Here is a 15,849-nt window from a genome sequence, read left to right as displayed (position 1 = left end):
TGTCCCCATTAAACACTAACTCCCCATTCCCTCCTTTCCCAGCTCCTGGCAGCCACCATTCTACTTTACGTCTTTATGAGTCTGACTACTCTAGCTACCTCATATAGTGGAATCACACAGTATTTTTCCTTTTGTGCCTGTCTTGTTTCATTTAGTGTAATGTCTTTAAGATTCATCCATGTGGTAATATGTGTCAGAAGTTTTTTTTGTTTGTTTTTTTTTTGAGACAGAGGTTTGATCTTGTTGCTCAGGCTGAAGTGCAATGGCATGATCTCGGCTCACTGCAACCACTGCCTCGCCTCCCAGGTTCAAGAGATTCTCCTGCCTCAGCTTCCAGAGTAGCTGGGATTACAGGCGCCTGCCACGACGACCAGCTAATTTTTGTATTTGTAGTAGAGACAGGTTTCACCACGTTGGCAAGGCTGGTCTTTTTTTTTTTTTTTTTGAGATGGAGTCTCTCACTCTGTTGCCCAGGCTAGAGTGCAATGGCTCAATCTTGGCTCACTGCAACTTCTGCCTCTCAGGTTCAAGCGATTCTCCTACCTCAGCCTCCCGAGTAACTGGGATTACAGGCATGCGCCACCACACCCAGCTAATTTTTGCATTTTTAGTAGAGACAGAGTTTCACCATATTGGCCAGGCTGGTCTGGAACTCAAGACCTCGAGTGATCGTCCCGCCTTGGCCTCCCAAAGTGTTGGGATTACTGGCGTGAGCCACTGCGCCCAGCAGTTTTTTTTTTTTTTTTTTTGAGAGTCTCACTCTGTCTCCAGGCTGGAGTGCAGTGCCCTGATCTCGGCTCACTGCAACCTCCGCTTCCCGGGTTCAAGCGATTCTCCTGCCTCAGCTTCCCAAGTAGCTAAGTGGAACTCCAGGTGCACGCCACCATGCCCAGCTAATTTTTGTATTTTTAGTAGAGACGGGGTTTCACCATGATGGCCAGGATGGTCTGCATCTGTTGACCTCGTGATCCGCCTGCCTCGGCCTCCCAAAGTGCTGGAATTACAGGCATGAGCCACCGCGCCCAGGCAGAAGTTCCTTTTTCATTTTTCAGTTTCTGCTCTGCTAAATGAATTTTCTTCCTTTTAAGGCTGAATAATATTCCATTGTTGTACAGTCTTTTGAAGGGTAATTTCGTAATAATCCCCAATTATTAAATGCCATAATCTTTGATACAGCAATTCTACTTCTAGTATATCCTGAAGAAATACTTGCACATTTGTTACAAGAGACATTTACAAGGATATTAATTGCAGTATTGTTTTAATAGTAAAAAATTAGAAACAATCTAAATACCATCAGTAAGGAGAAGGGTAAAATACGGTGTATCTATTCCATGAAATATTTTGCAGCAGTTTGAAAAGAATAAGGCACATCTATATGTGCTAGCATGGAAATGTCTCCAAGAAAGATGGGTATATAATGTATAATTCCATTTATATATAATTTTTAAAGTATGTTTTTATATAACACAAACATATGTGACACACTGAAAACAATCTGGTGGTAAATACACCAAACTTCTAGCAAGTGGCACAGAAAAAGATGCGTGGGAAGAGGACAGCTGGGAAGGGACGCTGAAAAAGGACTTCAGTGTTTTTACTCACTCTCTATGTATCTGCTGGTCGAGTCCTTACAACTTGTATTGTATCCATTGTTATTTAAGTAAAAAATTAACTGGGAAAAGAGGAAACATGCCAAACTGAATATACTTGGATCGCAGGGATAATGAGTGCTTTCTTTTTCTATATTTCCCAAATTTCCTACACTGAGCATGTATTACATTCATAGTTAGCAATAACATTATTTGAAGGAGAAAATGGTATATCTAGTGTGAATGCAGCTGTGAACAAGGTGAGAGTAACTATATATGGAGATATCTATACACATATGCATGTTTACATTGGCATAGAAGTTCAGAAAGACAGGTAATAAATGGTGGTCAGAAAGAAGGTCAGAAAGACAGGCATTATGGTGTCCTCACACAGCAATTACCAGCAATGTTCCTATTACCTTTTTTTTTTTTTTTTTTTTTTTTTGAGACAGAGTTTCATTCTTGTGGCCCAGGCTGGAGCGCAATGGTGTGATCTCAGCCCACTGCAACCTCCGCTTCCTGGGTTCAAGCGATTCTCCTGCCTCAGTCTCCTGAGTAGCTGGGATTACAGGCGCCTGCCACCACGCCCAGCTATTTTTTTTATGTTTTTAGCAGAGACAGGGTTTCACCATGTTGGCCAGGCTGGTCTCGAACTGCTGACCTCAGGTGATCCACCCGCCTCGGCCTCCCAAAGTGCTGGGATTATAGACATGAGCTACCGCGCCCGGCCCCCCATTACCTTTTTTTTGTTTGTTTGTTTGTTTGTTTTCAGACGGAGTCTCCGCTCTTTCACCCAGGCTGGAGTGCAGTGGCGCGATCTCGGCTCACTGCAGGCTCCGCCCCCGGGGTTCACGCGATTCTCCTGCCTCAGCCTCCCGAGTAGCTGGGACTACAGGCGCCCGCCACCTCGCCCGGCTAATTTTTTGTATTTTTAGTAGAGACAGGGTTTCACCGTGTTAGGCAGGATGGTCTCGATCTCCTGACCTCGTGATCCGCCCGCCTCGGCCTCCCAAAGTGCTGGGATTACAGGCGTGAGCCACCGCGCCCGGCCCCCATTACCTTTTTGTTTGTTTGTGTGTTTGTGTTTTGGAGACAGGGTCTTCTCGCTCTATCACCCAGAGGCTTGAGTGCAGCGGCGTGATCACGTTTCTTCCTTTCCGGAAGGCAGGGGCGCGCTTCCCAAAAGAGGGGTATTTCCGGCGGGAGAAGGAGAGGTCTTTCGCTCCCGCCTCCAAAGTTCCAATTCCCCAAATTCTGCGTTTTCGGGCAGTAGGCTAGGAAGAGCGGGCTCTGCAACCAGTTTCTCAGGCCACCGCGCCTCAGAAGCGGGACGGCGCGGCACCTGATGTCGCGACACCTGGTGGTGACCGTGAAGCACAATTCCCTCTCACATCTCAAAAAATCGCGCGCCCCTCACACACTGGCCAGTTTTTTGTTTTTTGTTTTTTTGAGACAAGTTCTGGCTCTGTCCCCCAGGCTGGAGTGCAGTTGCGCGATCACCGCTCACGGCAGCCTCAAACTCCCTGGCTCAAGCGATCCTCCCACCTCAGCCTCCAGAGTGGCTGGAACCACAGGCGTGCGCCACTTTGCCTGCCAAATGCTTGTGTTTTTTTTTTTTTTTTTTTTGAGACGAAGTCTCGCTCTGTCGCCCAGGCTGGAGTGCAGTGACGCGATCTCGGCTCACTGCAACCTTCGCCTCCTGGGTTCAAAATGCTTGTATTTTTTTCAGAAACGAAGTCTTGCTATGTCGTCCAGGCTCGTCTCGAGTCCTGGGCTCAAGCTATCCCCTCGCCTCGGCCTCCCAAAGTCCTGGGGATTACAGACGTGAGCCACGGTGCTCAGTGAGACCCCCATCTCTTTAAAAGAAAAAAAAAATGCCTCCGCCGGGCGCGGTGGCTCACGCCTGTAATCCCAGTACTTTGAAAGGCTGAGGCAGGCGGATCACGAAGTCAGGAAATCGAGACCATCCTGGCTAACACGGTGAAACCCCCTCTCTACTAAAAATACAAAAAAATTAGCTGGGTGTGGTCGCACGTGCCTATAGTCCCAGCTACTCGGGAGGCTGAGGCAGGAGAATGGCGTGAACCTGGCAGGCGGAGCTTGCAGTGAGCGGAGACAGCACCACTGCACTCCAGCCTGGGCAACACATCAAGACTCCATCTAAAAAAAAAAAAAAAAAGGCCTGGCGCCGTGGCTCACGCCTGTAACCCCAGCACTTTGGGAGGCCGAGACGGGTGGATCACCTGAGGTCAGGAGTTCAAGACCAGCCTGGCCAACATGGTGACACCCCGTCTCTACTAAAAATACAAAAAATTAGACAGGCGTGATGGCAGTCGCCTGCAGTCCCAGCTACTCCGAAGGCTGAGCCAGGGAATTGCTTGAAACTGGGAGGCGGAGTTGCAGTGAGCCGAGATCGCGCCACTGCACTCCAGCCTGTAGGACAGAGCGAGACTCCATCTCAAAAAAAAAAAAAAAAAAAAAAAAAGAAGAAGAAGAAAAAAGTTTTTTAATTAGCCTGGCATAGTGGCAGGTGCCTGTAGTCCTAGCTCCTCGGGTGGATCGCTTCAGCCCGGGAGTTTAAGGCTGTAGTAAGCTATGATTGTGTCACTGTACTCCAGGCAGGGCCACAGAGTGAGACCCTGTCTCTAAAAAATTAAATTTTTTTTTAAAAAAAACGGCAAACACCTAATATTTGTTGAATGAATAAATAAATGAAAACATATACTCTCATTAAACGGTTTCTTCTGGGGATACAAGGAAAGGTGAGAGGGGAGTTTTTACTGGATACTTTTTTTTTTTTGCGACGGCCAGACTGGAATGCAATGGGGAGATCTTGGCTCACTGCAAGCTCCGCTTCCCAGGTTCAAGTGATTCTCCTACCTCAGTCTCCCTAGTAGCTGGGCCTACAGACGTGCACCACCATGCCTGGCTAATTTTTGTATTTTTAGTAATTTTCCAGGTTTGAAAAGCTAGATTTTTAGTGACAAGATCTTGCTGTGTTAGGCTGGCCTGGAACTCCTGGACTCAAAAGCAATTCTTCCACCTAAGCTTCCCAAGTAGCTAGGACTACAGGTATATGTCACCAAGCCCATTTAAACTTTTTTGTTTTGTTTTGTCAAGAGCCCATTGCCCAGTCTGGCCCCAAGCTCTAGCCTCAAGTGATCCTCCCACCTCCACCTCCCAAAGTGCTGGGATTATAGGTATCAGCCACCACGCCTGGCCACATTTGCTTTATTATAAAGATATTACAAAGGACTCAGTTGAAGAGATGCATAGGACAAGGTATGGGGGAAAGGGTGCAAAGCTTTAATGCCTTGCCTGGGTGTGCCATCCTCCAGGAACCTCCATACGTTCACATATCCAAACTCAGTCCTCTTGGTTTTGTAGGGAGGCTTCAAGATGACAGCATTCCTTTCCGCAGAGTATAGGACAGAACCCTCTCTGAAATGGGGGTCTTAGGACTCACAGAAAGGTAGGGGAAGATCAAGAGTCCCGTCTTAGTGAAGGTAAAAGGGCAGAAGTGAAGTGAGTTTCCTGTGGCCTAACACACACAACATGACTATAACAAGGGCTATAGAAGTTATGAACGAGGAACTGTGGGCAAAGATCCGTAAAACCAGAGTGACTAAGGCAGTTTACCTAAAATTATGCGTGAAACCATTCTCAGGTACACTATGAATATCAAAGGTGTATTTCTAGATATGGTATTCCTGCATTTGTGTAATACACCCATGGGTACTTCTTGCGTACCAAACCACTAACTAGAGATTAACTGGCCCGTGATTTAAAGTCCTTACTCTAAGTATGCACTTACCATGCCAGTTTTAGTACCAGAAAACATTATTTCTCTACTATAAACCTGGGAAAAACAGCGCTCCCCACACCATTCCCAATTTTGTGCCAAGATGAGAATCACATTTATTGAAGTTACATTACAGAAGATAGTGAAGGGGAAAGATTGAGAACTTCCTTAGTACACCCTTACTCCAATATTTTCTATTAGCACTGCACATGTATTACTGCCTAGTGTCCATTGGCATAGAAGCCTAAGAACTGCTTATGTTGCCAGTCTTAGACAAGGATAAGCATTTTTAACAAATACAGGTAAAATCTCATTTGTTGCTGCAATCTTTTCACAATAAAGTTAAGCTGTGTCATTAAGAACCAACAGCGTGGCCGGGCGTGATGGCTCATGCCTGTAATCCCAGCACTTTGAGAGGTCAAGGTGGGCGGATCACTTGAGGCCAGGAGTTTGAGACCAGCTTGGTCAACATGGTAAAACCCCAACTCTACTGAAAATACAAAAATTAGCTGGTGTGCCCCTGTAGTCCCAGCTATGTGGGGGACTGAGGCAGGAGAACTGCTTGAACCTGGGAGGTGGAGGTTGCAGTGAGCCGAGATCGCACCACTGCACTCCAGCCTGGGGCAAGAGAGACTGTCCAAAAAAAAAGTGAGGAACCACTTTAACTTGCCACCTAACTTATCAAGATCAGGAAGATTGTCTTAGATCAGAATACCGTTTTCAACATTAAGTACCTGCAAGCCATCTTTCTCCTCAGCCAGTCGTCTTCCATACTCGGTGATTAGCTGCTGCTTGGCTCATCAGTTAAAGCATATACAGCAAAGAGACAAGATTATGGTCCCATACTACCACCCAGGTTAAACACTTTGGTGTAATACACTACAGAGCAATAAACACACAGCTCATAGTCACCCAATTAATTGCAGAACTGAAAGCAGTTACGTTACCACTATTCAAGCAGCCTCAATCAAAACTTTGTTTCTCCAGCAATCCTTGATTAGGTCTCAACAGGCACATTTGCTTTCCTTCAATGTAAAGAAAATGCCTGCAATCACTTGAGCCCAGGAATGATAGTGAGCTGTCATCGTGCCACTGTATACCAGTCTGGACTACAGAGCAAGACCATCTTTTAAAAAGCCTGCATATCCAACTTTTTGAGATGTTGTCTTGCTCTGTCGCCAGGCTGGGGTGCAGTGGCACGATCTCGGCTCACTGCAACCTCTGCCTCCCAGGTTCAAGTGATTCTCCTGCCTCAGCCTCCCGAATAGCTGGGACTACAGGCAGGCGACACGACGCCCAGCTAATTTTTTTCTTTTAGTAGAGACAAGGTTTCACCATGTTGGCCAGGGTGGTCTCCATATCTTGACCTCGTGATCCGCCTGCCTCGGCCTCCCAACAGACTTTAAATTCGAGCTTCAGAAAGTTTGCCATTTACCCAGGATCCTAACTTGTAATGACTTAAACAGCAAAGAAGGCTCTTGCCCCTCAGCCCACCCAAGTGTATACCAAAGTCAAGTGACTTAACTTTGAGCACATTACCAATCTCAAAATTAAATCCCTAAACATTTTCACCAGTTTTAAGCGTACCCACACATCACTAGAGAATTTCATGACAAAACACCAAGTATGCTACCATGCAACGAAACCTTTATTAACATTTTGAACAGGTTCAGCTATTACTGAAACTTGTAATTTCTAAACTTAAGTTGGGGCAAATGGCTATAGTGCAGAGTAATGCCATCACTGGGCACTGCGAATGCCATGACTGAAGAATTAACAGCCACCCCTCAGGCGCAGGACCAGGTGCAGGGTCGACTCTTTCTGGATGTTGTAGTCAGAAAGAGTGCGGCCATCTTCCAGCTGCTTGCCTGCAAAGATGAGCCTCTGCTGGTCGGGGGGGATGCCTTCTTTATCTTGGATCTTGGCCTTCACATTTTCGATGGTGTCACTGGGCTCCACCTCCAGAGTGATGGTCTTGCCGGTCAGGGTCTTCACGAAGATCTGCATACCACCTCTCAGACGCAGGACCAGGTGCAGGGTCGACTCCTTCTGGATGTTGTAGTCAGAAAGAGTGCGGCCATCTTCCAGCTGCTTGCCTGCAAAGATGAGCCTCTGCTGGTCGGGAGGGATGCCTTCTTTATCCTGGATCTTGGCCTTCACATTTTCGATGGTGTCACTGGGCTCCACTTCCAGGGTGATGGTCTTGCCGGTCAGGGTCTTCACGAAGATCTGCATACCACCTCTCAGACGCAGGACCAGGTGCAGGGTCGACTCCTTCTGGATGTTGTAGTCAGAAAGAGTACGGCCATCTTCCAGCTGCTTGCCTGCAAAGATGAGCCTCTGCTGGTCGGGGGGAATGCCTTCCTTATCCTGGATCTTGGCCTTCACATTTTCGATGGTGTCACTGGGCTCCACCTCAAGGGTGATGGTCTTGCCGGTAAGGGTTTTCACGAAGATCTGCATTTTGACCTAGTTTAAAAGTAAAACATAAGCGTGTCACCTCAGGATCATTGTATTTCTTGCTTTTACACCTAATATTCTTCAAAATTAGCAACTATTCCTTCAAAATGCCTTAAATACGTTAATATTCCGCAAGCCTCCCCTCAATTTTACAAGGCTAAGTCACTTAATACGAAATTCGTCATTCAAGGTTTCAACGTCAACAGCGGAAAATCCAGAGCGCTCTCTTACCAAGCGTCCACAGCTTTCCCCACTAACTGTTCCGGATATTCAAACTCCCCCGACCGAACTCCAATCTGCCTCAAACCTAAGCACGGTGTTAGGCAAACTGAAAACAAAACCAAACCCACAAGACTCGCGAAATAAAAATCCCATTGAAACACAAGAAGGGGCACCTTTCTCACACTGGGATTCCAAAGTAAAGGCTTCCAGAAACCACACAAACTACCTCTTTTCCGCCTTCCCCGCGAAGTAAACTCGACAGAATCGCCGATCGGTTAGGCGTCCGTTAGTTTCCGTCAACGCGCGCGCGCGCCAACCGCCCTCGCCCCCCTCAGGTCAACAAGGCCCACTGTCCCGGAAAGGCCCAGCGCCGCGTCACCTCGCCCTCCCCTCCCCCACGCCCTCCCCTCAGCGGCCCACCCAACCCCAAGAAGCCTCCACCTTGACCTCACCCATTCCCCCCTCTCACACCCCCCCAAGGTCGTTACGGCTGCGGGCCAGTACCTGTTAGCGGATACCAGGATCCTGCCAATCACCAACCACGTCCACCCACAGGGACACAAACAAGCTCACCCAACAAAGCCAACCGCCCCTAAATGCTCCGGGCTGGCGGAGCGCAAATTTATGCAACGAGTGTTGCGTCACTTATCACCCCTCACGTAGACGCCGTCTCCGTGCGCCGCTGAAAGTAGTTCGCCGCGCCCAACCTCCCGAGAGGCAGTTTAGGCTTTTCAACTGAGCCCCAAATTCCTCATAGCCGTAAGAAAGGCTCCTAAAAAATTATTTCCCTTCTCCTCTATGCGCTTCTCTTCCTTCTTTAGGAAAATATAAGAAAATTATCAGGCGGATGAATTTGAGTTGAAGAAACCTTCCTCGAAAGCTCTGGAAACTTCCTTGCAGCGCCGGCACTGATTGGTTAGGCCTGCGAAGGCGAGGTCGGCGCTGATTGGTGGGGGACGCGGTGGCTCTGTTGTTGCTGGGCTCCACCTGGGGTGGCTTAGCGCCGAGGTTGCTAAGTAACTGAGCGCGCGTGCGCCGCACAGGCGCGCCGTCCTGAAAGAGGGTATTTCCGGCGGGAGAAGGAGGGGGGGTCTTTCCTTTTTTTTCTTGAGACGGAGTTTCGCTCTTGTTTCCCAGGCTGGAGTGCAATGGCGCGATCTCGGCTCATCGCAACCTCCGCCTCCCGGGTTCAAGCGATTCTCCTGCCTCAGCCTCCCAAGTAGCTGGGATTACAGGCATGCGCCACCACGTCCGGCTAATTTTTTGTATTTTTAGTAGAGACGGGGGTTTCACCATGTTTGTCAGGCTGGTCTCGAACTCCTGACCTCAGGTAATCCACCCGCCTCGGCCTGCCAAAGTGGGCCGCCGCGCCTCAGAAGCGGGACGGCGTGGCACCCGATATCGAGACACCTGATGGTGATTGTGAAGCACAATTCCCTCTCCCATGTTTTAAAAACGCGCGCCCCTGGCCGGGCGCGGAGGCTCACGCCTGTAATCCCAGCACTTTGGGAGGCCGAGGCGGGTGGATCATGAGGTCAGGGGTTCAAGACCAGCCTGGCCAAGGTGGTGAAACCCCGTCTCTACTAAAAATACAAAAAAATTAGCCGGGCGTGGTGGCGGGCGCCTGTAATCCCAGCTACTTGGGAGGCTGAGGCAGATAATTGCTTGAACCTAGGAGGCAGAGATTGCAGTGGGCCGAGAATGTGCCACTGCATTCCAGTCTGGCGACAGAGTGAGACTCTGTCTCAACAAACAGACAAACAAAAAACACGAGCCCCTCATACACTGGCCAGTTGTTTTTGCTTTTTTGTGACAAAGTCTGGCTGTGTCCCCAGGCTGGTGTGCAGTGGTGTGATCACCGTTCACTGCAGCCTTGACCTCCAGGGCTCAAGTTATCCTGCCACCTCAGCCTCCCAAGTGGCTGGGACCGTGGACCACGCCTGGCTTTTTAATTTTGTATTTATTTTTTGAGACGGAGTCTCACTCTGTCACCCAGGCTGAAGGCCAGTGGCGTGATGTGGCTCACTGCAACCTCCACCTCCCTGGTTCAAGCGATTCTCCTGCCTCAGCTTCCTGAGTAGCTGGGATTACAGGTGCGTGTCACCATGCCTGGCTAATTTTTGTATTTTTTAGTACAGATGGGGTTTCACCACGTTGGTCAGGCTGGTCTCGAACTCCTGACCTCAGGTGATCTGCCTGCCTCGGCCTCCCAAAGTGCTGGGATTACAGATGTGAGCCACTGTTCCTGGTCTAATTTTTTTTTGTTGTTAGATCAGAGTCTTGCTATGTTACCCAGGCTGTTACTGAACTCTTGGGCTCAGGAGATCCGCCTGCCTCGGGCTCCCAAAGTGCTAGGATTACAGGCATGAACCACCGTGCCTGGCGGACTAGCCGCTTTTTATTTTTCTTCGTGGTTATTGCAGGGTTGTGGAGCTTTAAATCATGCTTCTGTAGTCAGAGTGCTCTTAGTTGCATTGTCTTAATCCTCATCACGGCCCGAGAACAGTCTGTAAATCGGGAGTTCAGAGTGGGACCCTCTGCGGGGACCGGAAACCTGTTGCTGAAGCCGCTCACCACCAGGCCCAGAGAGGCGAGGCTGGAGCCCATGGTGACAGTGGCCGGGCTTCGCTCTGGCTCCAGCAATACCTGCAAATCCAGTTCTTCCCAGCTGTTTCTCCAAACTGGTAGGAAAAAAAAAAGTGCAGATTAGGGAGCCGAAACCCCACTTCAAAAACGGGAATTCACCTACAAGAAAGTAGCTGATCCTGCTCCCATTGACGTGCTTGTTGTGCAAGGGTGAGGTTAACCAGCTAGGACCAAGCAACGGGTTTCCCTACACCCTGGGTGTGGCCACTCGTCCTGCAAGGAGATAACCCAAGGAAGGTGAGTAAGGCAGATGTGTTTGGATCCTGGTGCCTGGCACAGTCACGGGGGTGGGGTGGAAGTAAACATGAAATTGGCTGTTTTTCACGTGATACCAACCTTCATAATGTAAGAAGTAGTCTAGAAATGTGTGTATTAATACAATTAAGTAAACATCTCTTAGAAAGGTCGCTAATTACTAAATTTCAACATACCTGAGCATAACGTTGAGAAGCTATGTCGACAAATGAGCTGGTATATGAGTTAACACCTAGACAGCTTTCAGTTAAATTAACTAAAACCGGGATCTACTGTCTACTGATGTGAATAAGCAGGAGATAGAAATAAACAGTTTAAGATAATTTTGGAAGTGATTTTGAACGACTTGGGAGGTAGTTTATAAAACGTTTATTTTATTATATAAAGTATGGATTTTCGTTTTTGTTAGCCTAACAGTGATTCTGAATTTGTTTCACCAACCAGCAGCTCCTCCTGAATCATACATGTTGATCGCAGATTGAGCTAGAAGGCAGATCTCATGACTGGTATAATGACTTCACTGGGAAGTTCTAGCAGTTGCCAGAACTGTAAGTTAGTTATACAGGCTCCTGGTTCAATGTTTTCCCGAAGTAGGTCATTTGGTAACCTAAGATTAGGAATTTGGTAATCTGGCACAATACTTGGCACTGTGCTCAATAAATGTTTGTTCAGTGACTAAAATGCAATCTTCTCTTTTGTTCAACTGGAGAAAAGAAACTTTGTGACAGCCTTAAAACACAAAGCAAAAACACAGTAGAGTACTGTATTTCATCTCCATAGGCAAATGCTATTTGCCTTGGCAGTTCCTTCAAAAGAAACAAAGGGGGATTGATTCTGAGATTCTAAGTGATTTTACTTGGCTAGATGCCTTTTAATAAAAATCTGTGAGAAAACTATAGTTCCAATTAAAAGTTCACAGTTGTTTTCTTGACATTATTTGGTGATATTTAAAGTGTGGAATTAGTCTCTGATTTGTCAATTCCTTTATATTTCACATTTGGCTATTTATTTCAATACAATTACATAATGAACTCCTAATTTATTACAAGCAAGTTAGAAACTTTGATATTGAATGCCCAAAGGAACACAGAGCAAAATCTGTACTGTTTTCATGTTAGGCCTCAAAAGTACAGAAATCTATCCATTAAAAAATAGCTAATTTGGGCAGATTGCAGTGGCTCACGCCTGTAATCCCAGCACTTTGGGAGGGTGAGGCAGATGGATCTCTTGAGCCCAGGAGTTCAAGACCAGCCTGGCCAACATGGCAAAACCTCATCTCTACTAAAAATACAAAAATTAGCCGGGTGTGGTGACGCACACCTGTGTTCCCAACTATTTGGGAGGCTGAGGCATGAGAATCCCTTGAACCCAGGAGGTGGAGGTTGCAGTGAGCTGAGATCACGCCACTGCGCTCCAGCCTGGGCAACAGAGTGAGACTCCATCTCAAATACAAACATACAAAAAATAGCTACTTTAAATGTTTTTAACATTTTTATTTATTTATTTATTATCTATTTTAGAGTATCTATTGCCCAGGCTGGAGTGCAGTGGTGCAATCATAGCTTACTTCAGCCTCCAACTCCTGGGCTCAAGCGATCCTCCTGTGTCAGCCTTCCAAGTAGGTGGGATTACACACACAAGTTGCTCTGCCTGGCTACAATATTTTTATCATGAAATATTACATAAATACATGAAAGATGGAGGTAATATAGCAAATACCATATAATCCCTGATTTGCTTAAGCACTTAAAAACCTTTATTTTTGGCCGGGCACAGTGGCTCAGCCTGTAATCTCAGCACTTTGGGAGGCCAGATCACCTGAGGACAGGAGGTGGATCACCTGAGGTCAGGGGTTCGAAACCAGCCTGGCCAACATGGCGAAACCCTGTCTCTACTAAAATACAAAATTAGCCAGGCATGGTGGTGCATGCCTGTAATCCCAGCTACTTGGGAAGCTGTGATAGGAGAATCGCTTGAACCCGGGAGGCGGAGGTTGCAGTGAGCCAAGATCGTGTCATTGCACTCCAGCCTGGGCAACAAGAGTGAGACTCCGTCTCAAAAACAAAAAACAAAAAACAAAAAACTTTATTTATTTATTTATTTATTTATTTTTTTGAGACAGAGTCTCGCTCTTTCACTCAGGTTGGAGTGCAGTGGCGCGATCTCGGCTCACTGCAAGCTCCGCCTCCTGGGTTCACACCATTCTCCTGCCTCAGCCTCCGGAGTAGCTGGGACTACAGGCGCCTGCCACCAGGCCCGGCTAATTTTTTTGTGTTTTTTTAGTAGAGACGGGGTTTCACTGTGTTAGCCAGGATGGTCTCGATCTCCTGACCTCGTGATCCACCTGCCTCGGCCTCCCAAAGTGCTGGGATTACAGGCGTGAACCACCGCGCCCAGCCATGTGCAACAGATCTCTGGCACTTTTTCATCTTGTAAAACTGAAGCTCTGTCCATACTGAACAATAACTCCCTTTTCCCCCTCCTCCCAACCCTGGCATCCACCATTCTACTTTTTGTCTCTCTGAGTTTCACCACTTTAATGCCTCATGTAAGTGGAATTGTACAATATTTGTCTTTTTGTTACTGGCTTATTTATTTAATTATTTATTTTTGAGACAGGGCCTTGCTTTGTTACCTAGGCTGGAGTGCGGTGGTGCGAACGAGGCTGTAGTGACAGCCTCGACCTCCCAGGCTCAAGTGATCCTCCTGCCTCAGCCCCACAGGTAGCTGGGGCTATAGGCACACATCACCATACCAGGCTAATTTTTTTGTATTTTTTGTAGAGATGAGGTTTCACCATGTTGCCCAGGCTGGTCTCAAACTCCTGAGTTCAAGCGATTTCCAACCTCGGCCTCCCAAAGTGCTGGGATTGCAGATATGAGCCACCATGCCTGGACTGGCTTATTTCATTTAGCATAATGTCCTCAAGGTTCATCCGTGTTTTAGCATGTGACAGAATTTCCTTCTTTTTTTTTTTTTTTTTGAGACGGAGTCTCGCTCTGTCGCCCAGGCTGGACTGAAGTGGTGTGATCTCAGCTCACTGAAACCTCTGCCTACGGGATTCAAGCGATTCTCCTGCCTCAGCCTCCTGAGTAGCTCGACTGCAGGCACCCGCCACCATGCCTGGCTAATTTTTTTTTTTTTTTTGTATTTTTAGTGGAGACGGGGTTTCACCATATTGGTCAGGCTAATCTCAAACTCCTGACCTTGTGATTTGCCCGCCCTGGCCTCCCAAAATTCTAGGATTACAGGCGTGAGCCACCGTGCCCAGCCTGATTTACTCATTTTTAACCTTTGGTTTCCTTATCTGTAAAGAAAAAAATGTGGACTAGATGTCATCCTACCTTGTCAAATTAAGGTGAGTCTTAAATCTTTGCCTTTTTGCCTAGTTTCCATTGCTCTTTTCAGAGCTGCCCTTTGGGATACTGAGATTTTATTTTTTCCTATACTTTTCTAGGGAATTCTCAAGCCTAGTCAACAAACCAAGAAACTGAGGCTTGCTGTAGCAATTTCCCAAGCTGTCAGAAAGTTATGTTACGGCTGGGCATGGTGGCTCACACTTGTAATCCCAGCATTTTGGGAGGCTGAGGCAGGTGAATTCCTTGAGCTCAGGAGTTTGAGACTAGTCTGGGCAACATGGCGAAACCCCATCTCTACAAAAATACAAAACAGTTAGCTGGGTGTGGTGGCATGCACCTGTAGTCCTAGCTACCTGGGATGCTGAGGTGGGAGGACTGCTTGAGCCCAGGAGGTGGAGGTTGCAGTCAGCCAAAATAGGACATTTAAACATAGATTAGATCAGGCATGGTGGTTCACACCTGTAATCCCAGCACTTTGGGAGGCCAAGGTGGGCAGATCACTTGATGCCAGGAGTTGAGACCAACCTGGCCAGCATGGTGAAACCTAGTCTTTACTAAAAGTACAAAAAATTAGCCGGGTGTGGTGGCGGGTGCCTGTAATCCCAGCTACTTGTGAGGCTGAGGCAGGAGAATCTCTTGAACCCGGAAGGTGGAGGTTTCAGTGAGCCAAGATTATGCCACTGCGCTCCGACCTGGGTGACAGAGCGAGACGCATTAGATTTATGGCCAGCTGTGTTGCATTTAAACATAGATTACACTTATGGGACCATATATATATACACGTGTATATATATACGTGTATATACACGTGTATATATATATACGTGTATATACACGTGTATATATATATACATGCATATATATATAAAACAATCTCTGATACATAGAGAAATTTGTTTATCTCACATTTGAAATGCAGTGATTATACATATTAAATCAGCCTTTATGTTATGTTCTCATTGATGTGTATATACTACAACGCTTTTACAACCATTATCGTAAATTCCTCCAGCCAGCTATTCCTGGGCACTGTATGCTCTTGAAGTTTGAATCCTGAGCCAAGAGAAAGATATTAGGTCATTCATCCAGTCAGCAGACATTTGTTGAGCAAGTTCTGGGTGTGAGAGGCATTTGGATTGCTGACTGAGACAGGATATGGACTCCGCCCAAGAGAACCATGGTCTTAGTGCCCATAAGGGGGTCACTGTGAGGACTAAGAGTATCCACCTTAAGGAGGTGTTGGAGAATTCAATGAGTTAATTCATGTCGAGAGTTTATTTATTTATTTATTTATTTATTTTTATTTTTGAGATACAGTCTCATTCTGACTTGCCCAGGCTGGAGGGCAGTGGCACAATCTCAGCTCACTGCAGCCTCCGCCTCACGGGTTCAAGTGATTCTCCTGTCTCAGCCTCCTGAGTGGCTGGGATTACAGGCATGCACCACCACACCTGGCTGATTTTTGTATTTTTAGTAGAGACAGGGTTTCACCATATTGGCCAGGCTGGTCTCA

The 15,849-nt window shown here is 47.1% G+C and overlaps 1 protein-coding gene and 1 long non-coding RNA gene across 7 annotated transcripts, besides 2 other annotated features; one reads left to right on the top strand and one right to left on the bottom strand.

Moving 5' to 3' along the window:
* Nucleotides 1,783-2,372: an enhancer, noted in NCBI's record as "H3K27ac-H3K4me1 hESC enhancer chr17:16290707-16291296 (GRCh37/hg19 assembly coordinates)". NCBI's record gives its function as "activates a minimal SCP1, AML or CMV promoter by ChIP-STARR-seq in primed H9 embryonic stem cells {active_cell/tissue: H9 hESC(primed)}" and the evidence as "EXISTENCE:reporter gene assay evidence [ECO:0000049][PMID:30033119]".
* UBB (ubiquitin B) lies at nt 7,020-8,986 on the bottom strand. 6 transcript variants are annotated; one of them, NM_001281719.1, is made up of 2 exons: nt 8,303-8,475; nt 7,020-7,863 (listed from the first exon to the last, which is right to left on the bottom strand). In NM_001281719.1, exon 2 carries the CDS (start codon nt 7,855-7,857, stop codon nt 7,168-7,170), a length of 690 nt encoding a protein of 229 aa, NP_001268648.1. In that variant the 5' UTR covers nt 7,858-7,863; nt 8,303-8,475; the 3' UTR covers nt 7,020-7,167. The 6 variants fall into 6 exon arrangements, with proteins under 6 accessions (NP_001268648.1, NP_001268647.1, NP_001268646.1 ...); NM_001281718.1 differs by having other exon boundaries at nt 8,250-8,424; NM_001281717.1 differs by lacking the exon at nt 8,303-8,475 and adding an exon at nt 8,086-8,300.
* Nucleotides 8,695-8,974: an enhancer, noted in NCBI's record as "active region_11755". NCBI's record gives its function as "activates an Ori minimal core promoter by ATAC-STARR-seq in GM12878 lymphoblastoid cells {active_cell/tissue: GM12878}" and the evidence as "EXISTENCE:reporter gene assay evidence [ECO:0000049][PMID:35858748]".
* LOC124903937 (uncharacterized) lies at nt 10,419-11,658 on the top strand. Its single transcript, XR_007065643.1, has 2 exons — nt 10,419-10,959; nt 11,422-11,658. It is a non-coding gene; the product is annotated as an uncharacterized LOC124903937 (long non-coding RNA).

Source organism: Homo sapiens, chromosome 17, assembly GCF_000001405.40.
Source record: "Homo sapiens chromosome 17, GRCh38.p14 Primary Assembly".
Classification (NCBI taxonomy): Eukaryota; Metazoa; Chordata; class Mammalia; order Primates; family Hominidae; genus Homo; species Homo sapiens.
The sequence above is the reverse complement of the archived record's forward strand: the minus strand, read 5'-3'. Positions and strand labels throughout refer to the sequence as shown.

Bases quoted from the DNA above. Each gene is read 5' to 3' on its own strand.
- UBB (NM_001281716.2), bottom strand. From the start codon at position 7,857: ATGCAGATCTTCGTGAAAACCCTTACCGGCAAGACCATCACCCTTGAG.